Source organism: Homo sapiens, chromosome 3 (genome assembly GCF_000001405.40).
Source record: "Homo sapiens chromosome 3, GRCh38.p14 Primary Assembly".
In the NCBI taxonomy this organism is placed as follows: Eukaryota; Metazoa; Chordata; class Mammalia; order Primates; family Hominidae; genus Homo; species Homo sapiens.
The window spans coordinates 125821965-125847067 of record NC_000003.12 but is presented as its reverse complement, the minus strand read 5'-3'; the positions used below and the strand labels follow the sequence as shown (position 1 = coordinate 125847067).

Genomic DNA, 25103 nt, shown 5'->3' with positions numbered 1-25103 from the left:
ATCATGAGCCAGGCACTGTACACATATACATCACCTCATTTAATTTTTTCTCTTGTTTAAAATTATTTTTTCCTCTAATCCCCATGTTGATCAACATTTTCTTAATCCTAGGAATTTATTAGTTGAAAATTTCACATAAGAATTAAAAATTGCCTGGTGTGATGGCTTACATCTGTTATCCCAGCACTTTGGGAGGCTAAGATGAGAGAATCGCTTGAAGCAAGGAGTTTGGGCCAGTCTGGGTAATATAGTGAGAATGCAACTCTATAAAAAAATTAAAAACCCTGGGTGTGGCAGCGTTCACCTGTAGTCCCAGCTACTTGGAAGACTAGGTGGGAGGATTGCTTGAGCCCAGGCGGTAAAGGCAGCAGTGAGCTATGTTTGTGCCATTGCACTACAGCCTGGGTGATGGAGTGAGACTCTATCTCTAAAATAAATGAATAAAATTGTGGTATAATATATGCAACATTTACCATTTTGTGCATCGGAAAGTGTACAATTCAGTGACATTTTGTACATTAATCATGTGCAATTATCACCACTACCTAGTTTCAGGGCTTTTTCAACACCTCAATTGGAAGCCTCATATCCATTCAGCAGTCACTCTGCATACCCCCTCCTGCAGCCCCTGGAAACCTCTCATCTACTTTCTATCTCTGTCGATTGGCTTAGTCTGAACATTGCATATAAATGGAATTGTACAATATATGACTTTTCATGTCTGCTTCTTTCACTGAGCATGTTTTTAACGTTCATCCATATCACAGCATGGATAAGTTTTATTTTCTTTTTAGACACTATCTAAAAAGAAAAAAAAGTTGTAAAACAAAAAAAAGTATATAGGATGGAGATCAGATGTGTCCTGCAAAGCTGATAATAGTTACTATCTAGCACTTTACATAGAAGCTTGCCTACCTCTGAATGATATGCAGGTACAGGGATGACATTTATCTTGGCACTTATAGAAAGACCTGTAAGTTGTATAAAGATGTCATCCTTGGATTTCCAGTAACAAGAAGCGGCAAGACATGACGGTGTGTCCAGGTGTTCAGGCGAAGTTTAGGGATGGTCTTGTTTTGACGAGGTCGGATGTGAGACCCAGATGAGATAACCCCATTTCCCCTGCTGAAATTGCCTGAGAATTTCGTTCCAGTTATTTGTGTGGGTTGATTCTTTCAGTGGGGGGTGGGGTGGGTGAGGAGGTGAAGTGTCAGGGGAGTTCTATTGTGTATTTGCACAACTTGGCTTTCTTTTCACTTGGTGTGGTGTTTTGCTGTATGAGGAATTTCATAGAATTTTGTAATGAGTATGCAGCATAGTGGTTTGAATCCTGCCAGGCTAAGGGTCATATCTCAGCTCTGCATCTCATTATCTCTGATGCCTTGGGGCAGGTCCCATAACTCTCCAAGACTCTGTTCTATATTCCATGGGGTTGTGAGGTTCAGATGAAATAATGCATGCTGGCAGGAATGGTTACTGCTCATGGGATTTCCATGTGCTCCCCATATTCCCCAGACCCCCAGTAGTTAGATGGATCCATGCCAGGGTCCAATGCTCTATAAGTGGAAGTCACTGACATCACCTCTAGTCTACGGCTTTTGAGGGCTTGGGAATAACTATCTCATCCTCTCATCTCCTGGTGCAGTAACTATGGGAGAATCCCTGCATTAAGATGGTAGAATTTCCATTATTCTAGGTCTTTGAGTGGCCATATGGAGCACACCATACCCAGCCAACCCATTGTGGACATGGAATGTAAGAAATCAACCTTGGTTGCTAAGCTGCTGAGACTCTGGGGTTAATTTGTTACTGTAGCATAACCTAGTCCATCCTGACACATGCAGCATGCAAACCACTTACGTTGACCCTTAGCCATGGTAAGTGCTCCACAGATGTTAGTTACTTTTGGTAGGAAGATAGATTGCCTCTGAAAGTTTTGTTAGCTGATCTCATGATGCCAATGTTGCTACTTTGTAATTGGATAAATTGGACTTGGCTCTCCTTCCAGCATGTGGGAGAGACAGATGACTGAGAGACAATAAAGCACTATTATCTTCAGTTTGTGCCCTTGGATACCCTTGGTGGCAATGAACAATGCATGCTCCTCTGAGAAAACTGGACCTAAAGGAGAATGGAAGGTGATACCAGAATTGGGAATGTCCAAGGCCCAAGGCATTCCCTGGTCTGGAGACCACTTTGAGTCCATGGTTGGGAAGATTCTCCAAGGGAACATAAATGCTTTTACTATCTAGTTTGTCTCTTTGAGAATTAAAACTCTTTTTTTTTTTTTCATTCCAGTAGCTTTTGGGGTAGAGTTTGGCTCTTTGAGAATTGCATACTAATTAATTTTAGGGGTGATTTGTACATCATCTCTATATTCCTGAAACACAGTAGAAACAGCCAGCAGTCAGGCAACCATCTACCATGACCATTAAAACATCCCCAAAGTGAAACACCAGATGTGATCTGCTAGATTTAGTGGAGGCGGCTGGCTCGAGAGTTGATTATATTCATTATCGTCACTGTGGTGATTATGGCCACAACATTGTGATGCGTCTTGGTCTTCTTCTGGTGAGTTGCAGTTTGGAAGGAATAAATCCATTGTTCTTTTTTCTTTCTTTTTTTTTTGAGTCTCGCTCTGTCGCCCAGGCTGGAGTGCAGTGGTGCCATGTCAGCGTACTGTAAACTCTGCCTCCCAGGTTCAAGTGCTTCTCCTGCCTCAGCCTCCCAAGTAGCTGGGATTACAGGCGCCCACCACCACACCTGGCTAATTTTTATATTTTTAATAGAGACGGGATTTCGCCATGTTGGCCAGGCTGGTCTTGAACTCCTGACCTCAGGTGATCCACCTGCCTCAGCCTCCCAAAGTGCTGGGATTACAGGTGTGAGCCACCACGCCCGGACCCATTATTCATTTAACCAATATCTATTGAGCACGTTGGGTATGGTGGAGGATGAACTGCAGGGGAGGGGAGGAAGCCTTCTCCTGCCACTATGTTTTCAAGTTGTGCTAATACTCCACCATGGGACATGCAGGCTTGTGGTTCCCAGAGCTCCAGAAGCATCTCCCAACCATACCATCCTGACCCAGGTTCTACTGAAAAATACATGAGTCTAGCAGAGCCATCTCTGACACTTCCCTTCTTTTGAATGGCTGATCTGTCAGTCATGGGGATCCCTTATGAAAGTGCAGTGTGCTTTGTGAAACTTGAGGCTGATCAAAGAATACCATTAAACTTTGTTAAGAAATCTACAGATTGATGACATACGCAGTGGGATGGAGGTGGGGAAATTCCCAAATACATTTTAGAAATTATCTCAGAAGGAGGTAATAGTCAGACTCTTGGTTGCCAGTGACAGAAACTCATCTTACTAGTGTGGAGTGGAAAAGGGATCATGTTTTGGTCTGCACTCCCCAACCCCAACCCCAAGCAGATCCTGAAAGAGGGACAGGATTGCAAGTGGATTATTTAGGAGATGATTCCAGGGAACACCAATAGGGGAGTGAGGAACTGATTCATGACAAGGCAGGAGGCCACACAGGAGGCTTCAGTGAGCAGCTTACCACTCCAGGCAACTAGGATTTGACCCCACTGGGGACCTCTGGGAAGTGATGTGGAATACATTTCAAAGTTGTTCCATCCAGGGGGGGAAATATTGAAGCATTTATAGCCTGGCTCCCATCCGTCACTGGCTGAGGACTGGTCCCAGGGCATCAACTCTCTGGCTTTTCTTTTCTCTTTTTTTGGTGGGGGACATAGTCGTGCTCTGTCACCCAGGCTGGACTGCAATGGCATGATCTCGGCTTACTGCAACATCTGCTTCCCAGGTTCAAACGATTCTCTTGCCTCAGCTTCCTGAGTAGCTGGGATTACAGGCGCCTGCCACCATGCCCTGCTAATTTTTTTATTTTTTGTAGAGACGGGGTTTTGCCACGTTGGTCAGGCTGGTCTCGAACTCCTGACCTCATGATCCACCCGCCTTGGCCTCCCAGTGTTGGGATTACGGGCATGAGTCACTGCACCCAGCTTCTGTGGCTTTTCTGACATATTCCCTGCCTGACTTTGAAAAAACTCTCAAGTGAAAGTCTTGGTTGTATGCAGTAGCAAGCATGGACTAGATTGATAAATACCAAGGGGCCTACCACAAGATCTCTCTTTCAATCTCTGGGTGGAGACACCTCAGAGCTGTCTCTCTATCTCTGTCTCTAGCTTTGTCTGCATACTGGCTTAATTTCTTCTTACTCAAGCCTTTTCTCCATAAGGTGAGATATGTGGCCACAAAAGCTCCTGTATTTCTCACTACACACAGTTCCTGTCATCACAGAGAATGATTAACTTGTTCTGGTTCCAGTTTGGAAAAATATTCAAGGGAAGAATTCTGATTGGCCAATTTAGGCCAGATGTTCATCCCTGGACCAATCAACTGAGGCCAGAGGGGTGGAGTCATATGAGAACATGGCAGCCCCCATGAGAGCCCCGTGACTGGAGTAGGAAGTGTGAGTCTCCATAGAGGGGAGGGCTGCTAGGCTGAAAAGGCAATAGATGTCTGCAGTGAAAGGAATAGATTAGGGGATATATTCTGTTAAACCTGTTAATTGTTAAAAAAAGAAACTTTCAATATACAGTTACAGTGTACGTGAGCCGGTGGCTCACGCCTATAATCCCAGCACTTTGGGAGGCCGAGGTGGGCAAATCAGAGGTCAGGAGTTCGAGACAAACCTGACGAACATGGTGAAACCCTGCCTTGTGCACCTATAATCCCAGCTACTCAGGAGGCTGAGGAAGGAGAATCGCTTGAACCCGGGAGGTGGAGGTTGCAGTGAGCTGAGGTCACGTCACTGCACTCCAGCCTGGGCAACAGAGTGGGACTCCCTCTCAGAAAAAAAAAAAAAAAATGTTACCTTGTTGTTCCTTCAGCATGATTTATTAGAAAGGAAAAACTTACCATATGCATATTTCCTATGCACAGGCTACTGCTATGAATTCAAATTCTTAAATTCCAAAGATTAATTACAATGTTTCTCAAGACACAGAAACTGTGTTAGAATCTGCTTATAATGAGGCTGAAGTTGAGTAAGAATAGAACTGGCATTTAGTACACTACTTTCCTTCTGTGGAGTACTGTCAAGTTTAGGTTCTGCCTGGAAGTAGATGCACCTCAAGGGAGGGTTACATGTAAAGGTGTGTGTGTGTGTGTGTGTGTGTGTGTGTGTGTGGTAGTTTCCGAAGATGGGTACAACTTTCTGCAAACGCTTGTGCAGTGTAATTGAACCAATCTTTCCTTTAAGAGGTAGAGTTTATATTCCTCTACATGAATCTGGGCTGTTTATGACTTGCTTTGGCCAGTGGAATGCTGCCAAAGTGATGGTGACCAATTTCTAGCCGTGAAAGGAAAATAAACCTTGGGCCCCCAAGATCAGTAAGCTAGGCCGGGCTCAGTGGCTCACGCCTGTAATCCCAGCACTTTGGGAAGCTGAGGCGGGCAGATCACCTGAGGTCAGGAGTTCAAGACCAGCCTGGCCAACATGATGAAACCCCCATCTCTACTAAAAAATATGAAAATAAGCCAGGTGTGGTGGCAGGCGCCTGTAATCCCAGCTACTCGGGAGGCTGAGGCAGGGAAAATTGCTTGAACCCTGGAGTTGGAGGTTGCAGTGAGCTGAGATCGCACCACTGCACTCCAGCCTGGGCAACAGAGTGAGACACTGTCCCAAAAAAAAAAAAAAAAAAGTTACTAGCTAAAGAGAAAAGTCAAGCTGGGAACTGCTTAGGGCAAACCTGCCTCCCATTCTATTCAGTCACCCCTTTGCTCACTGAGATAAATGTATATCTGATTGCCTCATTTGGAGAGGCTAATCAGGAACTCAAAAGAATGCAACCATTTGTCTCTTAACTACCTATGACCTGGAAGCCCCCTCTCCGCTTCGAGTTGTCTCACCTTCACCTTCACCTGGAGTTGTCCCGCCTTTCCAGACTGGACCAATGTATATCTTGCACATATTGATTCATGTCTCATGTCTCTCTAAAATGTATGAAACCAAGCTGTGTCCCTACCACCTTAGGCACATGTTGTCAGGACCTCCTGAGGCTGTATCACAGGCGTGCATCCTCAACCTTGGCAAAATAAACTTTCTGAATTAACTGAGACCTCAGATTTTTGGGGTGCATATAGTCTTAGGCCTTGAGAACCCTCTCGTAGTTTCCATATTTTTGCCCTCTTGGATGCTGGCACCAATCAAGCCTTGGCTATCCTGCTTAAAGGGCCATTTGGAGAGGGGCTCTGGAGGGCTAGGGGCCACATGGAGGAAAACAAGGTTCCCCGGCTGACAGGCAGCACCAACTGCCAGGCACACACGTGAGGCTGTCCTGGATGTTCCGCCCACCTGGCCCTCCAGCTGCAGGTAGCCACACAAATGAGCCCAGATTAAACTAGACAGGAAGTCCCCATGCAACTCACAGGGTCATGAGCAATAATGACTTGTGGTGGTTTAAAGTTTCTAATTTTAGGGTGCAATAGGTAACTGAAATAGCCCACAAGGGTGTGAACCTGTGGAGGGTGCATTTCCCACTTGTTGAAGCTTCTCAATTCCCAGGATCCAATCCGGATAAGACTGTTGTTCTCAGTGTCCTTGATGGAAATGGCAATGAACTTTTTGCAGATTGGACCATCTCAGGGGAATCCCAAAGATGGGAAACTATTTTCTTTCTTAGAAACTTCCACACAGCATTGAGCCTTAGGAATTTCTACGAAGGATCTGAAATGAAAAAAAATCTTTTGAAAAGGTATTTGTATAGCTTCACTTCAGCAAGATTCATGGTGGGTGTTAGACTAAGTGCTGGTGTTAAGCCAAACCATGTTTTTCAAAGACTCATCTGGCCTCAAGGTTGGCGGGATCACAGTGGCCTCCCAGGATCTATCACATCCTCAGAAGAGTTGGTTCAACTGGCATGTACCCAGATCTCTTTGAGCTAGTATGATACTCCCTTGAGTCAAAGGCTGCCACATCACATCTCCTTTAAGTCCCCCTAAGTACGACCCCAGAAGCATTGACAAAGTGTGCTATTACTGAAGATTTCAGGAGGACATAAATGAAGAGATTAAACTGCAAGGTACCAAAACTTCCATCTTTGCTGAAGACCCTCATCCAGGCTGGGTGCGGTGGCTCATGCCTGTAATCCCAGCACTTTGGGAGGCCAAGGCAGGCGGATCACCTGAGGTTGGGAGTTCAAGACCAGCCTGATCAACATGGAGAAACCCCGTCTCTACTGAAAATACAAAATTAGCCAGATGTGGTGGCACATGCCTGTAATCCCAGCTACTAGGGAGGCTGAGGTAGGAGAATCCCTTGAACCTGGGAGGTGTAGGTTGCGGTGAGCTGAGATCGTGCCATTGCACTCCAGCCTGGGCAACAAGAGCAAAACTCCATCTCAAAAACAAACAAACAAACAAAAAACCCTTATCCAATGGTCATGCCACTCTATCTGGCCATGTAATTTCTCCTCCTGGCTTTCTGTAGCAACAGCCTTCTGAGGAACCTCACTCTGCCTTACAAAACCCCTTCAACTTGTACCCTTCATCAGCAAAGTAGCTCAACATGTATGCCTCTGGGGGAACTCATCCACATGCCATTTAAGGGTATTTCCAGCAACATCATCTTTACTACCCCAGGACAGCATTTTAGAGTGGATTACGTGCCTGCTAGATGTGTTGTTCTTGAGCGAGCTAGAGAACACGCTACACTTTGAGATGAATTAAGAGTCTGTTTATTTAGCCGGCGGCTAAGAAACGGCTAACGTTTAAAGTTCTCTCGGCTTCGAAGAAGGGGCTAAGATTTTCTTTTATACTTTGGTTTAGAAAGGGGAGGGGGGTCTAGTTAAAACAATTTTACATAAGTAAAGTAGGCAAAAAAGTTAAAAGGATAAATTGTTACAGGAAAGTAAACAGTTCTAGGTCTAGGGCCTTTAAGACTATTATAAGGTGATAGACTCGGGGCTTTGGGCGTTATCAACCAGATGAATTCCTGGGAACTGTGGATATTGCTCACCACAGTATCTTATCAGTTAATTGCATTCTTCGATGTGCTGGGAGTCAGCTTGCACAAGTTAAGTCCTTGAGGAAGGGGCTGCCAGTGAAAGAGCCAAGATGGAGTCTGTCTGGCTCTCTTAGCTAAGGGAGAGTCAATTCAGGTGGAAACAAGGCTAGGTCATTAAAAGAAAGGGAGAGTCTAAAAACAGAGTTAGTAAAAACAAGGTTGGGCATTACATTCCTCATTTGTGTTTTTGGGGAATCAAATCGTTGATTCTTCAGTTATAAAAAGGGGGTTATATTGAGTCTTAAGATACATAAGTTTGACAGAAGCTATGCGTTGTTTTACAAAATTAAGAAACTAATTTAATATACAAGGCCCAAATATTAGACTTATTAGTAGGACGGGGAGGGGGTCTGGCTAACTTAGTAATTAGAGTGGTTAGCTATGGGTTCTAGTTGAACATGCTTTGATACTAGGGGATGTTATTTTCTTGTTCTTGTTGGCGCTTGTCTAGATTTTCTTGCACTTTTTGGCGTGTATCTTTTATGACTAAGAAAGGTGGAGGAACAGTCAAATCAACTTTGTCAGGGTGTTTCTGGAACATAGGGTTACTTAGATCAGTTAAAGATCTGATTGGCTTGGGTGGGCTTTATGAGACTAGGGTTTTTTTGGATGGTGAACATAGACTTAACATTAAATCCTGGGATATAAAATCTTAATCTTCATGACATGCCATGCCATGATACTATTGAGATGAATTAAGGTCATGGACAGTTACAGTAAGAGGATTACAATTTTTTCTAGTACATAATTTAGGATGAGAAGCACGACTTATGGAAACAGTTGAAGATCTGGTTGATCTTTTAGAGTAGGTGGCTAAAGTTACACATGTCTAATCAGGGCAGAAAAACTGATAAGCATCTTGACAGCTAGTGTCAGGGTGATTTCTAGGACAGAGGTAAAAGTCAATATTTTGGAGTCTTTTTTCTGCACTTTTGGAGCTCCTACATTTAGTTTGGCTCTTGGAGTGTCTGAATCTTGCTGCAAGGTCGACACTTCCTGCTCCTGGGACTGACAGATTGTGTTGCTTTTCATGGGTATGGGCTGGCTTTGGGAACAGTACAAATAAATCAACTGCAAAGGAGACTTCCTTGGAGGTACTGGCCTTCCAAGTGGTGTTTGCAAATACACGTCCTGTTGTGAAAGAGGTGAGGAGAAAGGAGTAGGAAGGCACGGAGGATGTAACTGGCAAAAACAAATAAGTGAGGTAGATAAAAAGAATGAATCTAATGGCTTCACCTGACTTAGGTGCAGTTTTAAGGGGCCTGACTTAGGCCTGGGGACTTATGTTTTTAGCTGGGCTCTGTTGGCCTTTTTGATGCGGGAGTGATGAATCTAAGCAGGAAGGCTGTCTACTTTCAGAGCAGTTGGAGTCGTGAGGATGACGGTGTGAGGTCTTTTCTAAGCAGGAGTGAGTCTTTCTTCTTGGAACTTTTTAACAAACACTAGGTCTCCTGGCTGGAATGAATGGCAGGAATTTGTCTGGTCAGGAATTGGATTGGGATGGGCTCCTCGAGCAAGTGGCAGGATGATCTCTTGTACCTGTTGGAGAGACTACAGGTACTGTAATAAATTAGTTTGTGATAATTCTGCTAATTTGGTATCTCTTAGCTTAGGCAAGATAGGCAGCGCCTTCTTATACATGATTTCAAAGGGTGAGAACTTAGCCTAGTAAGGGGTGCACCTTACTTTAAGTAGGGCTAAAGGAAGGAGACTTACTTAATTTACACTGGTTTTTAAGATTAATTTTGTAAGAGTGTTTTTTAGGGTGTGGTTCATGCGTTCTACTTGCCTGGAGCTCTGGGGTTGATAGGCACAATGGAGCTTCTATTGAATGTTTAACGCCTTACTGACTGACTGAGCTATAGGCGAGGTAAAGGCTGCTCTATTATCAGACTTTATAGCAGCAGGCAGCGTATATTGGGGGTTGATTTCATTGCGTAAAAACTTAACTACTGTGTTGGTAGTTTCGTTTTCAGTAGCAAATGCCTTAGTCTATCTGGAGAAGGTGTCTACTAGTACTAGAAGGTATTTGTACTTAGCCCGGTGTGGTTTTACTTCTGTAAAGTCAATTTCTTACTTTTTTCTTGGCGAGTTTTTTCAGAGACAGTGGCCTAGGCTGGGTTTAGGACTTTGTTTGGCATTTACTTGGGCGCAGGTTGTGCACTGGAGAGCTGCTTAATCTGTTAGGCTTTGAAGATGGGGGATCTTAAAATGGCTCCTGAGGAGCTGAGGTAGCTTTGCTCTTTTTAAGTGGGTGGTAGACTGTAGGTGACTGATTAAAGTTTCTTTAAGAGTTCAGGATATGAAGATTCTAGAGTCAGGAAGAATCTACTAACTTTCCTGATTTTTATTGGCTCTGAGATCTGAAGCCAGTTTTTTTTTGTTGTTGTTGAGTATACGGGATTGTCAGGCAGATCTGGCTGTGGAAAGGAGACTATGGGCAGCAAGTTTAGAGGCATGACTGAAGTTGCGCTGCGACCTGAGCTGCTGAATCAGCTTTCTGGTTACTATGGGCAACGGCCGTATTTTCTTTTTGATGTCCTTTGCAGTGGATCACAGCTACCTGCTGAGGTGAGTAGCCTGCCTTCCTGGTAGATGGCTTTACGTACATGCACAGTAGCAAAGGCATACTTGCTGTCACTGTAAATGTTAATACGTTTATTCTACTTTATCGGAGAGCCTGAGTGAGGGTGATCAATTCAGCCTTTTGTGCTGAGGTGTTCGCTGGTAAAGCGTGAGCTTACAACACATCTGTCTCCATGGTAACAGCTGCACTGGCTTTTCATACTTCCTGCTTGAGGAAGCTGCTACTGTCTGTGAACACGGCGGCATCTGCCTTTTCTAGGGGCACATCTTGAAGATCAGATGGGCCAGTTTGGATAGTTTCTAACAGTTCTTGACAGTCATGAGCAGGAATAGTGCAGTCTGGGTCAGGAAGTAGTGTGGCTGGATTGAAACACTTTGTGGGAGAGAAAGTCAAACGAGGCTGATCTAACTGACACTGCAAGATGCGAGCATTTGACATCTATTTGCCAGAAGCACTTCGTAGTAAGGTCTTTACAGCATGAGGAGCTGTAAGGGTTAAATTTTGGCTTAGAGTTAACTTATCATCTTCTTGGACTAGGCTTGCTGTAGCCTCTACGGCTCGCAGACAACTTGGCCATCTAGAGGCCACAGGATCTAGCCTCTTAGATAAATAGGCCACTGGGCGTCTTTAGGGTCTTAAAGCCTGAGTAAGCACCTCTTTAGCAACTCCTTGGTTTTTATGGAGATATTAGGGAGGGCTAAAGCAGGGGCTTCAGTTAATGCTAAATTAACGGGATATTTCATTCTGTACTTCTTGGATAGCCGCCACTAAGATTTTTGTTTGTCTTTTGAATGCTTTATCAGCGGCCTTTTCAGCTGCCTGTGTTGCTTGTTTTTGTTTTTTAACCTTTTGATGGTCAAAAGCTTTTTGGGCTATTTCTAAAAGCTGACTGATATTTATTCTAGCAAATCTTTCTAGTTTTTGGAGTTTCTTTTTTAATATCCGGGGCTGCCTGAGCCACAAATGCTAAATTAAGAGCACGGCTATTTTTGGGAGCTGCCGGGTCAAAAGGGGTGTAAATCCGATAAGCCTCCTGGAGGCGCTCTAAAACGTTCTTGGTGACTTATCGGGCCTTTGGACAACTTCGGTGGTCTTAGACAAGTTTATGGGTTTCTGAGTGGCTCTTTTAATACTTGCGAGGAGATACCGGTGAAAATCGTCTAAAGCTCTCTTTCTACTTGAGGAATTTGGGTCCCAGTTAGGCCGGGTAGAGGGAAAGACCTCCTCAAGGAGGTCTCTAGCTTCTCCTTCCGGTCCATTGGCTGATGTGAGGAAGTACTTTTTGGCTTCTTTTTGGATACGTTCTTTCTTTTCAGAGGTGAAAAGGGTTAAAAGGAGCTGTTGGCAATCATCTTAGGTGGGCGGGTGAGTCCGGAGTACGGACTCTATCAGAGAGGTCAAAGCCTGGGGCTTTTCAGAGAAGGGAGGATTATGGGTTTTCTAATTATATAAGTCAGAAGTAGAAAAAGGGACATAAACTAAGAAGGGGGCTGAGCGCTCGTCACCTGGAGGGACTTGTGCCTCTCTCAGTGGTAGTAGAGGGGCTACTTCTTCCTGTCACGGTCGCGATTGAGAGGCAATGGGTGGCGAGTCTACAGGGGACGTCGTCGAGGAGACATGGGATAACTTTAAGGGAGCAGGCTGGTTGTAAGGCGGTGGGACTGGGTGAGGGAGACTCCCCCCTTCTTCAGAGGGAGGCAGTACAGGAGAAGCCAAACCGGCTGAGGGTCGAGATGAAAAGGCGGTATGGCTTAGGAGGACCTTGGAGGTAGAATTATGAATGGCGCATGAGCGGAGCCATGGAGGGGGCTCCTGACTAAACTTAGCTATTGATCAATGTAGGGAAACTGATCAGGGTGGCTAGGAGTTTTAGTAACAACCGGCCACACAGCTTGAACAATTGTGAGGTTCAATGACCCTTCAGGGGGCCACTGGACTTTAAACTTTGGCCATTTTATTTTGCAGAGTGTCTGGAGCTTGCCTGTTTCAAGGCGGACTTTATAATCCTCTGAGAAACTGAGAGGAAAATTCTGCAGCACACATTGGAGAGGGCTTTAACTTTTACAAGTCTGGGAGGAAGTGTTTCTTTTTTTTTTTTTGAAGGCAATTTAATAAGATTTGAGCATAAATATTAAACCTAACATGGACAGAGAAACTTATTTCTTGGGGGACTGGAGTATTGAAAGAACAGAATCAACATGACTAGAAAGAGCAGAAAAACTACAACAGCTCATACTACTTGCTACATTACTGTAGCTTTAAGATTGAGGGAGGAGGACTAGAGCCAGCCTGAGATCTTCTGGGTCAGTTTGATCTAGGCGTTCTTCTTCTTCTAGATCTGTACTTTAAATACTTCTGGTGTCTTTATGACTTAAAGGCAAATAGCTTAGGCTTAGCTTTTTCTTTTAAGGGTTTAAGGAGTGAGAGCAGAGCAAAGTCATGGAGATGCTGAACTTGCTGTCACACCGGAAAATGAGATGTGCAGGGTAGGGGGCAGGAACGACGCGTAAAGGACTACTCAGATCATTTTTAAGATGGGAGAGTAGCCACAGAGGAACAGAGTAAGAATCTCGATGAAGTAAAGTAGTACGGGTGTGCGTTCTATTTCAGGGCACAGGAAAAGTTACAGAATGACAAAAGAGGTGAGCAAGGAAATCTGCAGGGTGGCTGTTTTGAACTTACTACTGGTTTAGATTAGAGGAGGTCTAATCACTTGGATGTAGGGTGTGACAATCTAAATACTTACAACTTTCATGGTGCTAGAAATCTTAATCAGGCAAATGTTTTTCACTCTTGTTCTTGTAACAACACTTGACTTGCTTCTGGCAGAAAAGACAGGACTGTGGTGGCCAGCCTAAACGATTGATGAGAAATTTAACCTCCTGTGACAAAAAAATCAGCACTAAGGACTTTGAAGAAGTTTTTACTTAGATGTCTTGGGCAATATCAACGTCTTGACATGCAAAACTTTGACAACTACTAACAAGACAGTAGACACTGAACAGAACAATCAACATAAACAATTGACTTTAGGGCATGTAAACAGTTATGAAAGTTTCTTCCTTTTTTTTTTTTTTTTAGACAGACAAGGGGAGGGGGTCCTGTGATGGGATCAGTCAGATGCCTGCCTGGCCGCTCCCCCTGAGGGGACTTGGGCTCCTCTTAGCATTGGCAGCCCGGTATAAACTTCCGGCTCAGATCGAGCTATGCCTGATGCTGTCCTTAAGCCTTAAGAGGTCGCCACGGAATCGCAGGTGAGGGCCCACTTGAACTCCGTAGCTTTCGCCGTGGAGCTACAAACTGGAGGACAAGCGCAAGCCCTTGTCCTCCCTCATTCATTCATTATTCACACAGAGTTTAAAACAGTTTTTTTTTCTTTCTTGGAGATTCTTCAAGAAACTGGAACAAGAGAAAGATGAGAGATAGAAAAAGAGAGCGAGAGAGAGAGTGACCGGTCTGCCAGAAACCAGGACTCAGTCCTCCAGCATCCTGGGATGTGGACTGAGTCAAGGGAGGGCCCCTATCAGGGCCACTTCCCTCCTAGACAGAGACACAGAGGTGCCTAACAGAAAACCAGGGCTCTGCCTTCTAGCGTCCTAGAGAAATGGGCAGAGTCAAAAGAGGGATGCCCTCATAAGGGCCGCTTCCCTCTTACTAGAACTGAAGTCAAATCTGACCTACCTGACCTCAGGGTCAGAAGTTGAGGACTCAGAGGTGGAATTTTTGTGGGCACCCACACGGTAGTCGATCCGCTTTCCTCTGGAAGACGGTCACCTTTCAGGGACCTGAAAATTTTTTTTCAAGTGGCGCCCCCACTACAATCCGGCCGTTCTTCCGGGGGGGGCCGGAGCAAGCCTGGCTCTCGCCTGGTGGCGTTTCTCACTGGGGCCTCCAAATGTTGTACTTGAGCGAGTTAGAGAAAATGCCACACTTTGAGACGAATTATGAGTCTATTTAGCCGGTGGCCAAGATACAGCTAATGCTTAAAGTTCTCTCGGCCCTGAAGAAGGGGCTAGATTTTCATTTATACTTTAGTTTAGAAAGGGGAAAGGGGTCTAGTTAAAACAATTTTACAGAAGTAGGCAAAGAAGTTAAAAGGATAAATTGTTACAGGAAAGTAAACAATTCTAGGTCTAAGGGCTTTAAGACTATTACAAAGTGATAGACGCGGGGCTTTGGGTGTTATCAATCAGACAAATTCCTAGTAACTGCGGATATTGCTCGTCCCACAGTATCTTATCACTTAATTGCATTCTTAGAGGTGCTAAGAGTCAGCTTGCACAAGTTAAGTCCTTGAGGAAGGGGCTGCCAGTGAAAAAGCCAAGACAAAGTCTATCTAGCTCTCTTAGCTAAAAGAAAGTCAATTCAGGTAGAAACAAGGCTAAGTGATTAAAAGAAAAGGAAAGTCTACCAACAAAGTTAGTAAAAACAAGGTTAGGCATTACAGATGGGGTCATCCTTATATTCAGCACAGTGTTTGTTCTGAAACTTCAATGGAGTGCTCCTAGTTTGATAACTTGGGCCATGCCAAATAAATTGAATTTCTCTTTCTTAACAACAGATGTTTGAATACAGCCCCGTGTCCCTCTCTGCTCCTTCCTGCCTTCCTCCTCTCCTCTTCCTTCCATTCCTTTTCAAGAGCAGGCTTTGCAAACTTTCTTGAAAGCATCAGATAGTAAATATTTTACAATTCTTGGGCCATACAGTCTCTTGTAGTAGTTACTCAACTCTGCCACCCATAGCATGAAAGCAGCTGATATAGGTTGAATATGTGTCCCCGCCCAAATCTCATGTTGCAATGTAATACCCAGTTTTAGAGGTGGGGCCTGGTGGGAAGAGATTGGATCATGGGGGTGGATTTCTCATGAATGATTTACCATCATCCCTTTGGTCCTGTCCTTGCAATAGTAAGTGAGTTCTTGCAAGATCTGGTTGTTTACGAGTGTGTAGCACCTCCCTCCTCACTCTCTTGCTCCCACTTCACCTTCTGCCATGATTGTAAGTTTCCTGAGGCCTCCACAGAAGCTCAGCTGATGTCAGTGTTATGCTTCCCTGTACAGTCTACAAAACTGTGAGCCAATTAAACCTCTTTTCTTTATACATTACCCAATCTCAGGTATTTCTTTATAGCATGAGAGAACAGCCTAATCCAGCAGCCATAGACAATATGTAGCAAATGGGCATAACTGTGTTTCAATAAAACTTTATTTACAAAAACATGTGCATGCAGGTCAGATTTGGCCATGGGCCATAGTATCCCAACCCCTGCTCTGGAATATTCTCTTCAGCCTGGATGGACATTTCTAGGTTTTTTGTTTTTTTTTTTTCCAGACAATGTCTCAATGTTGCCCAGGCTGGAGTGCAGTGGTGCAATCTTTGCTCACTGCAACCTCTGCCTCCTGGGTTCAAGCAATTCTCCTGCCTCAGCCTCCCAAGTACCTGGGATTACAGGCACCTGCCACCACACCTGGCTAATTTTTGTATTTTTTAATAGAAATAGGGTTTTACCATGTTGGCCAGGCTGGTCTCAAACTCCTGACATCAGGTGATCCACCCACCTCAGCCTCACAAAATGCTGACATTACAGGCTCCCACCACCACACCTGGCTAATTTTTGTATTTTTAGTAGAGATGTGATTTCACTATGTTGCCCAGGCTGGTCTTGAACTCCTGATCTCAAGTGATCCACCTGCCTCGGCCTCCCAAAGTGCTGGGATTACAGATGTGAGCCACTGCAGCTGCCCTCTAGATTTTTTTTTTTGACCATTGCTTATTTGGTTTGACTTTCATTTTCTTCCCCATTGTGGTAGCCCTTTTCTGAATGTCTGTTAGTTTGTCTGTCTCTCTCCTCTGTAGTCCCTAGAGTCAGATGAACTCCTCTGCAGGTGCAATGGTGTAACACTCTCTAGTGCTGAATTTTGAGCAGGAGAAAGAGAGCAAGAGTGACCAGCACTCTTGGAAACTCTGGCCTCTTGAGAATTTGGTGTCTTCTCTGCAAAGGCTGCAAACCTGTTAACCCACAGGCCAGAGAGAGAGAGAAGCCAGAAGCATGATCTGTTAAGCTTGAGTTTCATATTTGATGCACAGAGATCACTGTTTTTTGATGAGAATTAGAGGGGGAGACACGGCCACAGAGAACAATTTCTATCCCCAGGTGAGGATTCAGGAGATAATTCTGTGAACAGAACTTCCTGAGAACTGAGATGGGGGAAAATCACTGGTGTTAGAAGGGTGAAAAGGTCACTAATTAAGGCTATGACTATGCTCTGAGAGGCGAAAGAAGAAAATGAGACTGCCAGGCATGAATAATGAGAAATCTTTGATGGAATTAGCCATGCAGAGCAGATATTAAATGCATCCTCATTCCTTTCATAGTCAAAAGTTTTTGCTTAAGCTGGATGGGAAAAAGAGAATCCCATTTCACTAAGTATAAAAGAGGGGATTTTAAAGACGGTCTCAGAAGAATAAGATGTGGGGGTTTGGTGAAACTCACCAGAGGCTGAACCCTCTCCAGCATAACACAGGGATTGGGAGGAGTGGGGTGGCATTAGGCCAGGTGCATGGCCCAGTGCTGCTCTCTCTGGACTTTCTGCTCTCTCTGGACTTGTTTGCTAGCTGAGCTCATCCCTTTGCATAATTTTCAGTGCCATTTCTCAGCTTATGAGTCCTGAACTTTTGTCTTGAGGCTAGACTTCTCCTTCAAACAGCAGTCTTAAACACTCAACTTCTTTCTTGTTTTTTCCACTTGTGAACTCATGAACACCTCCATCTTGTTACATCCAAAGCCAAACTCATGGCTTGGAGTGGTAGGTGATGGCTGTAACCCCAGTGCTATGGGAGGCTGAGGCAGGAGGATTACTTGAGGCCAGGAGTTTGAAGCCAGCCTGGAAAACACAGTGAGACTCCCTATCTACCAAAAAAAAAAAAAAAAAAAAAAATTAGCTAGGCATGGTGAAGTGCATCTGTAGGATCTGTAATCCTGCTACTTGGGAGGCTGAGGCAGGAGGATCACTTGAGCCCAGGAGTTTGAGGCTGCAAAGAGCTATGATCGCACCAATGCACTCCAGCCTGGGTGACAGAGCCAGAGACCCTGTCTTAAAAAAAAACCCAAAGCCAAACTCTCTTTTTCCTCCTCCTTCTCCATGGGCTCTGTCCATGCCATCTCTGTTCTGTAAATGGCACCACCCCCTGCTGAGCTGCTCAAGGTGGTCATAACTCATGTGTTGTGCTAACTCTGCTTTTGCCCTCTTCTCCAGTCAGCAAGTCCTGTGATTCTAAACTTTACCCAACTTGTCCACTCTCTTTAACTTCACTGTTGTTATCTTTGCCTAGGGCACTGCTATCCCAGCTGGGCTACAGCAGCAGCCTCCTAACTGGTCTTAACTGGTCCTCTGCACCTACTCTTGATGCTCAGCAATCCATTTCCCACCTGGCAGCTTCAGTGATCTTAAGGTGTCCATTGAGTCTCACCCTTGCCTTTCCTGCCCATGGCACATAGAATAAAATCAAGACCCTGAGTCTTCTGCCTGACCCTGCCGCCTCTCCAGCCCTCTCCTATCTCCTCCCCTTGGCCTACTCTATTTCAGCCACTCTGGCCTCCTTTTGTTTTGTTGGACTTTCAAACCTTTTTCCACAACAGGGCCTTTGCACTTGCTGCTTCAGCCTGGAATGATTTTCCTCTGCACCTCCCCAAATTAGACCATCCTTTAGGTCTCAGCTAAAATGGTGCTTCCACAGAGAGCTCTTTCCTGACCCCTTTATAAAGTGGACTTCCCTGCTCTTCTCCACCTTAACCTCTTATTATTTCTTGTTGTGGGAAGTCAGGGACCCCAAATGGAGGGACTGGCTGGAGCTGTGGCAGAGGAACATAAATTGTGAAGATTTTATGGACATTTATCAGTTCCCAAATAATACTTTTATAATTTCTTATGCCTGTCTTTACTCTCTTAATCCTGTTATATTAATAAGCTAAGGATGTACATCACCTCAGGACCACTGTGATAACTGTGTTAACTGTACAAATTGATTTTAAAACATGTGTGTTTCAACAATATGAAATCAGTGCACCTTGAAAAAGAAGAGAATAACAGTGATTTTTAGGGAAAAAGGGAAGACAACCATAAGGTCTGACTGCCTGCAGGGTCAGGCAAAAAGAGCCATATGTTTCTTCTTGCAGAGAGTCTATAAAAGGATGTGCAGGTAGGAGGGATATCACTAAATTCTTTTCCTAGCAAGGAATATTAATACCCTGGGAAAGGAATGCACTCCTGGGGGGAGGTCTATAAATGGCCGCTTTGGGAATGTCTGTCTTACACAGTTGAGATAAGGACTGAGATACGCCCTGGTCTCCTGTAGTACCCAAAGCCTTACTAGGGTGGAGGAAAACTCTGCCCTGGTAAATCTGTGGTCAGACTGGTTCTCTTGTTTTCTGTTTTCTGTTGTTTAAGATGTTTATCAAGACAATACATGCGCCAATGAACGTAGACCCTTATCAGTGGTTCTGCTTTTGCCCTTTGCTTTGTGATCTTTGCTGGACCCTTATCAGTAGTTCTGCTTTTGCCCTTTGTCCTGTTCCCTCAGAAGCATGTGATCTTTTTTAGACCCTTAGTAGTAGTTCTGCTTTTTGCCCTTTGACGCATGTGATCTTTGTACCTACTCCCTGTTCTTACACTGCCTCCCCTTTTGAAACCCTTAATTAAGAACTTGCTGGTCTGAGACTCAGGGGACATCATGGTCCTACTGATATGTAATGTCACCCCCAGTGGCCCAGCTGTAAAATTCCTCTCTTTGTAGTGTCTCTCTTTATTTCTCAGCTGGCTGACACTTATGGAAAACAGAAAGAACCTACATTGAAATATTGGGGGGCAGGTTCCACCAATACTTCTTTCATGGATTTACTTATTTTTTGTTTGTCTCCCTCTGTATCCTAGAAACTCCTGGAGGGCAGAGCCATGCCTGCCATTTTCATCATTGCATTACCACCACCCAGCACAGTGCCTGGTACAAAAGAGTTGCTCAATAAATAAATCAGGATGAATGGACAAATACACGGATAGGCACTTTGAACTACAGATGAGCTTAAATACTTTGTGTTTTTCTTAGTCAAACATGTGCAATTAAGCATGTGATAAATTATATGATGACCACACCTGTGTCTTGCCTGATGTTCTTTGCAATCACTAAACAAAGTCAATTTTGCCTGTTTTGACAGTTCTGTTTTCAACCTAATGATCCGTTTCTTTTAACTTCTGGCTGTTGGCTTTGTTTGGGTTTGTTAGCCTGACAAAGTGGCAGATATTGGTATTTGCTCTTTTGTTTAAATGTCACGAACTTTAAAAATGCCTTTGCTTTTGGTAAGAAACCCTAGTTAGGACAGTCTAGTGGTCAGGATGATTTGGGTTCTGATGCAGTAACAACAACCCCCAAATCTCAGTGGCTCCATGCGGTGAGGTATTTGTTAGTTTTTGAGACAGGGTCTCACTCTGTCACCCAGACTAGAGTGCAGTGGTGCAATCTCAGCTCACTGCCACCTCTGCCTCCCAGACTCAAGTGATTCTCTGCCTCCTGAGTGGCTGGGATTACAGGCCCGTGCCACTACTGTCTGGCTAATTTTTTTACTTAGTAGAGACAGGATTTCACCATGTTAGCCAGGCTGGTCTTGAACTCCTGACCTCAAATGATCCACCTGCCTTGGCCTCCCAAAGTGCTGGGATGACAGGTGTGAGCCACCATGTCTGGCCACAATGAGGCTTATTCTTGGTCATGTTGCATGTCTGGGCTGTGTTAGGGCATTGTGGGGTGGTCTGTTCATTGTGTTCACTCAGGGATCCAGGCTGACAAAAGCCCCATCTCTGCATGTGTCCTTGATCACCACTTCAGGGGAAAGGGAATGTGCTGGATCACAGAGCCTCTTAACACTTCCACCTGGAGGTGACTCAAGTTGCTCCTGCTCATGGTTCATCGGACAAAACGGATCACAGAGTCATGGGCAACTTCTCTGTGCCTGGAAGGGGAACCAAAATATGAATAGCTACATTGATTTTCCCTAGCTATTACACAGAAGGCCTCATTTAAACACAGTTACTTATTTGTGTTTTGAAGCTAATTGTAGTCCATCAACCTTCACAGAAGATATGTGCACTTCTAAGCTATTATTAAGCACAGTTTTTTTTTTCTTTTGAGACAGAGTCTCACTCTCTTGCCCAGACTGGTGTGCAGTGGCATGATCATGGATCACTGCAACTTCTGCCTCCTGGGTTCAAGTGATTTTCATGCCTCAGCCTCCCAAAGTGCTGGGATTACAGACACCCACCACTGCACCTGGCTAAGTTTTGTATTTTTAGTAGAGATGGGGTTTCACCATGTTGGCTTGGCTGGTCTGGAACTCCTGACCTCAGGTTATCCACCTGCCTTGGCCTCCCAAAGTGCTGAGATGACAGGCGTGAGCCACCGCACCCGGCCTTGAGTATGATTTTTGATTGGGAACGTCAGAGTTACGGTTTTAGTCTGAGGACAGTATGACGTGAAGGTGAAAAGTAGAGCTTGGCTGTGAGTTTGCTGGGATTCCTGTGCTACTTCTACAGTTCTTCGGCTGTGTGACCATCACCTTTGGCAAGTTCCTTTACCTTTCTATGTGTTGGTTTCCACATCAATAAAATGGAAAAGAAAATCATAATCATAATATCTATTGGTGTTGGGATAGCCCAGTGGTTGACACATAAGGACTCAAAAATAGTTGTTTTTTTTTTTTTTTTTTTTAAGATGGAGTCTTGCTCTGTTGCCAGGCTGGAGTGCAGTGGTGCAATCTCGACTCACTGCAACCTCTGCCTCCTGGGTTCAAGCGATTCTCCTGCCTCAGCCTCCTGAGTAGCTGAGATTACAGATGCCACCACTCCCAGCTAATTTTTGTATTTTTAGTAGAAACGGGGTTTCACCATGTTGTCCAGGATGCTCTCAATCTCTTGACTTCATGATCCACCCACCTCAGCCTCCCAAAGTTTTGGGATTACAGGCATGAACCACCATGCCTGGCTCAAAAATACAATTATCAATTTTGGGGTGGAGTTACTATATTTTGTGAAAATCAGAATTCAGTACCTTGTAACACTGGGTTGGGATCTATCCCTGAAGGAACAGGCTTCTAAACAGGAAGGCATGGAGAGAGGGGCAAAATTTTAGTGGAAGTTGTAATGACTTTAGGTATATGGACCTGGGGTTAAGTTCTAGCTGCAGCCACCAGGTAGCAAGGTGGACTTTGCTAAATTCTATCACTTTCCTGGGCCTCAGACTCACTTGTTACAAATGGGGTTAAAGCATCCCTCTTTCAGGGCTAAGATAAAGATGATTAAGTAAGAGGGAATGAAAGCAACTTCCATCAATGCTCAAAAGTATTCGTTTAACATTTTTTTTTTTTTTTTGAGATGGAGTCTCTCCCTGTTGACCAGGTTGGAGTGCAGTGGCATGGTCCCGGGTCACTGCAACCTCCACCCCCTGGGTTCAGGTGATTCTCCTGCCTCAGCCTCCTGAGTAGCTGGGACTACAGGTGTGTGCCACCACACCTGGCTAATTTTTGTATTTTTAGTAGAGGTGGGGTTTCACCATGTTGGCCAGGATGGTCTCGATCTCTTGACCTTGTGATCCACCTACCTTAGCCTCCCAAGGTGTTGGGATTACAGGCATGAGCCACCATGCCCGGCCCACTTAACTTCTATATTACTTTCCTGTTGGTGGATTTACCAGTGCAAACTGAGCAGCTTAAACACCACCCAGTTATTATCTCTTTTCATGAGCCAAGGGTCTGGGCAGGGTTTAACTGGGCCTTCTATTCAGGGTCACAATACTGCAACCAGAGTGTCAGCTGGAGCTGGGCTCTCATCAGATGCTCAGGGTCCTCTTCCAAGCTTATTCAGTTTGTGGACTGAATTCAATTTCTTGCAATTGTTGAACGAAGGCCCTCAGCACCTAGAGCTGCCACCTCCAAAGACAGCTCACAGCATGGCCATTTGTGTCTCCTTGGAGGCTAAGGGTTGAATCTCTGAAACCTCACCTTTAAAAGGCTCATATGATTAGGTCTGGCCCACCTAAGATCATCCTGCTTTGGATGAACTCAAAGTCAGCTGAGCAAATGTGCTTAACAAAGCAAGTGTGACCATAATCACATTTGCAAAATTCCTTCCCCTTGGCCAAATCACAAGCTCTGGACACACTCAAGAAGAAGAGATGATACAGGGAGCAGATATAAGGGAGTGGGTCTCTTAGGGGCTGTCCTAGAATTCTGCCCATTACAACTTCCTTTCTCAAGGAACAGCAGGCCTGAGGAGAGATGATCACAGATGAGCACAGCCCACAGGTGGTGAGCACCTGGTGCTGCGGTAGGATGCAGGAGCCTGTGAAGCAAGTATGAAAAGCCTTCTCTGGGCTGGGTGCAGTGGCTCACGCCTGTAATCCCAGCACTTTGGGAGGCCGAGTTGGGCAGATCACGAGGTCAAGAGATCGAGACTATGCTGGGCAACCAACATGGTGAAACCCCATCTCTACTAAAAATACAAAAATTAGCTGGGCATGGTGGCACACGTCTCTAACAACCCAGCTCCCCAAGTGAGAAATTCCTGTCCCTTTTAAGGGCTCACAACTCTAAGGGGGTCCGTGTGAGAGGGTCGTGATCATAAGAGGGTTGTGATCGATTGACCAAGCAGGGAGTATGTGACTGGGGGCTGCATTCAGCAAACCCCAACTCTACTAAAAATACCAAAATTCAGTAATATCTCAGATACAAAATCAATGTACAAAAATCACAAGCATTCTTATACACCAATAACAGACAGAGAGCTAAATCATGAGTGAACTTCCATTCACAATTGCTTCAAAGAGAATAAAATACCTAGGAATCCAACTTATAAGGGACATGAAGGACCTCTTCAAGGAGAACTACAAACCACTGCTCAATGAAATAAAAGAGGATACAAACAAATGGAAGAACATTCCATGCTCATGGGTAGGAGGAATCAATATCATGAAAATGGCCATACTGCCCAAGGTAATTTATAGATTTAATGCCATCCCCATCAATTTACCAATGACTTTCTTCACAGAATTGGAAAAAACGGCTTTAAAGTTCATATGGAACCAAAAAAGAGCCCGCATCGCCAAGGCAATCCTAAGCCAAAAGAACAAAGCTGGAGGCATCATGCTACCTGACTTCAAACTATACTACAAGGCTACAGTAACCAAAACAGCATGGTACTCGTACCAAAACAGAGATATAGACCAATGGAACAGAACAGAGCCCTCAGAAATAATGCCACACATCTACAACTATCTGATCTTTGACAAACCTGAGAAAAACAAGCAATGGGGAAAGGATTCCCTATTTAATAAATGGTGCTGGGAAAACTGGCTAGCCATATGGAGAAAGCTGAAACTGGATCCCTTCCTTACATCTTATACTAAAGTTAATTCAAGGTGGATTAAAGATTTAAATTTTAGACATAAAACCATAAAAACCTTAGAAGAAAACCTAGACAATACAATTCAGGGCATAGGCATGGGCAAGGACTTCATGTCTAAAACACCAAAAGCAATGGCAACAAAAGCAAAAATTGACTAATGGGATCTAATTAAACTCAAGAGCTTCTGCACAGCAAAAGAAACTACCATCAGAGTGAACAGGCAACCTACAGAATGGGAGAAAATTTTTGCAATCTACTCATCTGACAAAGGGACCTATGACTTTCTTATAACCAAGAGAATATGGCAGAGGTGATGGGATGTAGTGATTATGTTAGATAGGATGTGAAGTTGTCTTGCTAGGAGGCTGTCTTGCTGGCTTTGAAGATGTGAGCTGCCATGTCATGAGTGGCCAGATGGAGAGGCCCACGTGGCAAGAAGCTGAGGGAAACAAGAAACTGGGGCCCTGAGTCAACCTGCAAGGAACTGAATTCTGCCAACAACCAGATGAGCCGGGAAGCAGATCAATCACCAGTCAAGCCTCCAGATGAGAACCGAGCCCTGGCTGACACTATGGCTGCAGCCTTGCACTGAACCCAGCTGAGTCACGCCTGGTTTCCTGACCCACAGAAACCACGCAGTGATAACTGTGTGCTGTCTCAAGCCACAAAGTTTGCAGTAATATTGTTGCACAGCAACAGATAACTAATATAAAAACTGTCTTACATCATGTACATTTCTGAGGGAAATGTAGAACCTGGATTTGAGCTCTGATTTCAGAGTTGTGGTCTCAGTCTCCCCAGGGAGACCTGTCCTGGGAGACAGTTATGCCAGGCTGTGATGCTGTGATGATTGTTCTCTTCCTACCCAGAAGCTTTCAATAGGCATGTCAAGCATGTGACCCCAGCTACATATACCAAATGTATTTCTGACAAATGCCAGGACATCGTGAACTTTCTTGTTTTACTGAGAGCT

At 44.6% G+C, this 25103-nt stretch overlaps 1 protein-coding gene and 1 long non-coding RNA gene across 3 annotated transcripts in view; one reads left to right on the top strand and one right to left on the bottom strand.

Annotated features, from left to right (window-relative positions):
- LINC02614 (long intergenic non-protein coding RNA 2614) overlaps positions 1-19831 on the top strand; it is a 58841-nt gene extending 39010 nt beyond the window's left edge. For both annotated transcript variants that reach the window (NR_125396.1, NR_125395.1), the window contains one exon: positions 19613-19831. This is a non-coding gene — a long non-coding RNA (long intergenic non-protein coding RNA 2614). The remainder of the gene's footprint in view (positions 1-19612) is intronic.
- Positions 1-25103, bottom strand: part of LOC112267908 (translation initiation factor IF-2-like) — a 92138-nt gene that overhangs the window by 1262 nt on the left and 65773 nt on the right. The gene's annotated exons all lie outside the window — the stretch shown is intronic.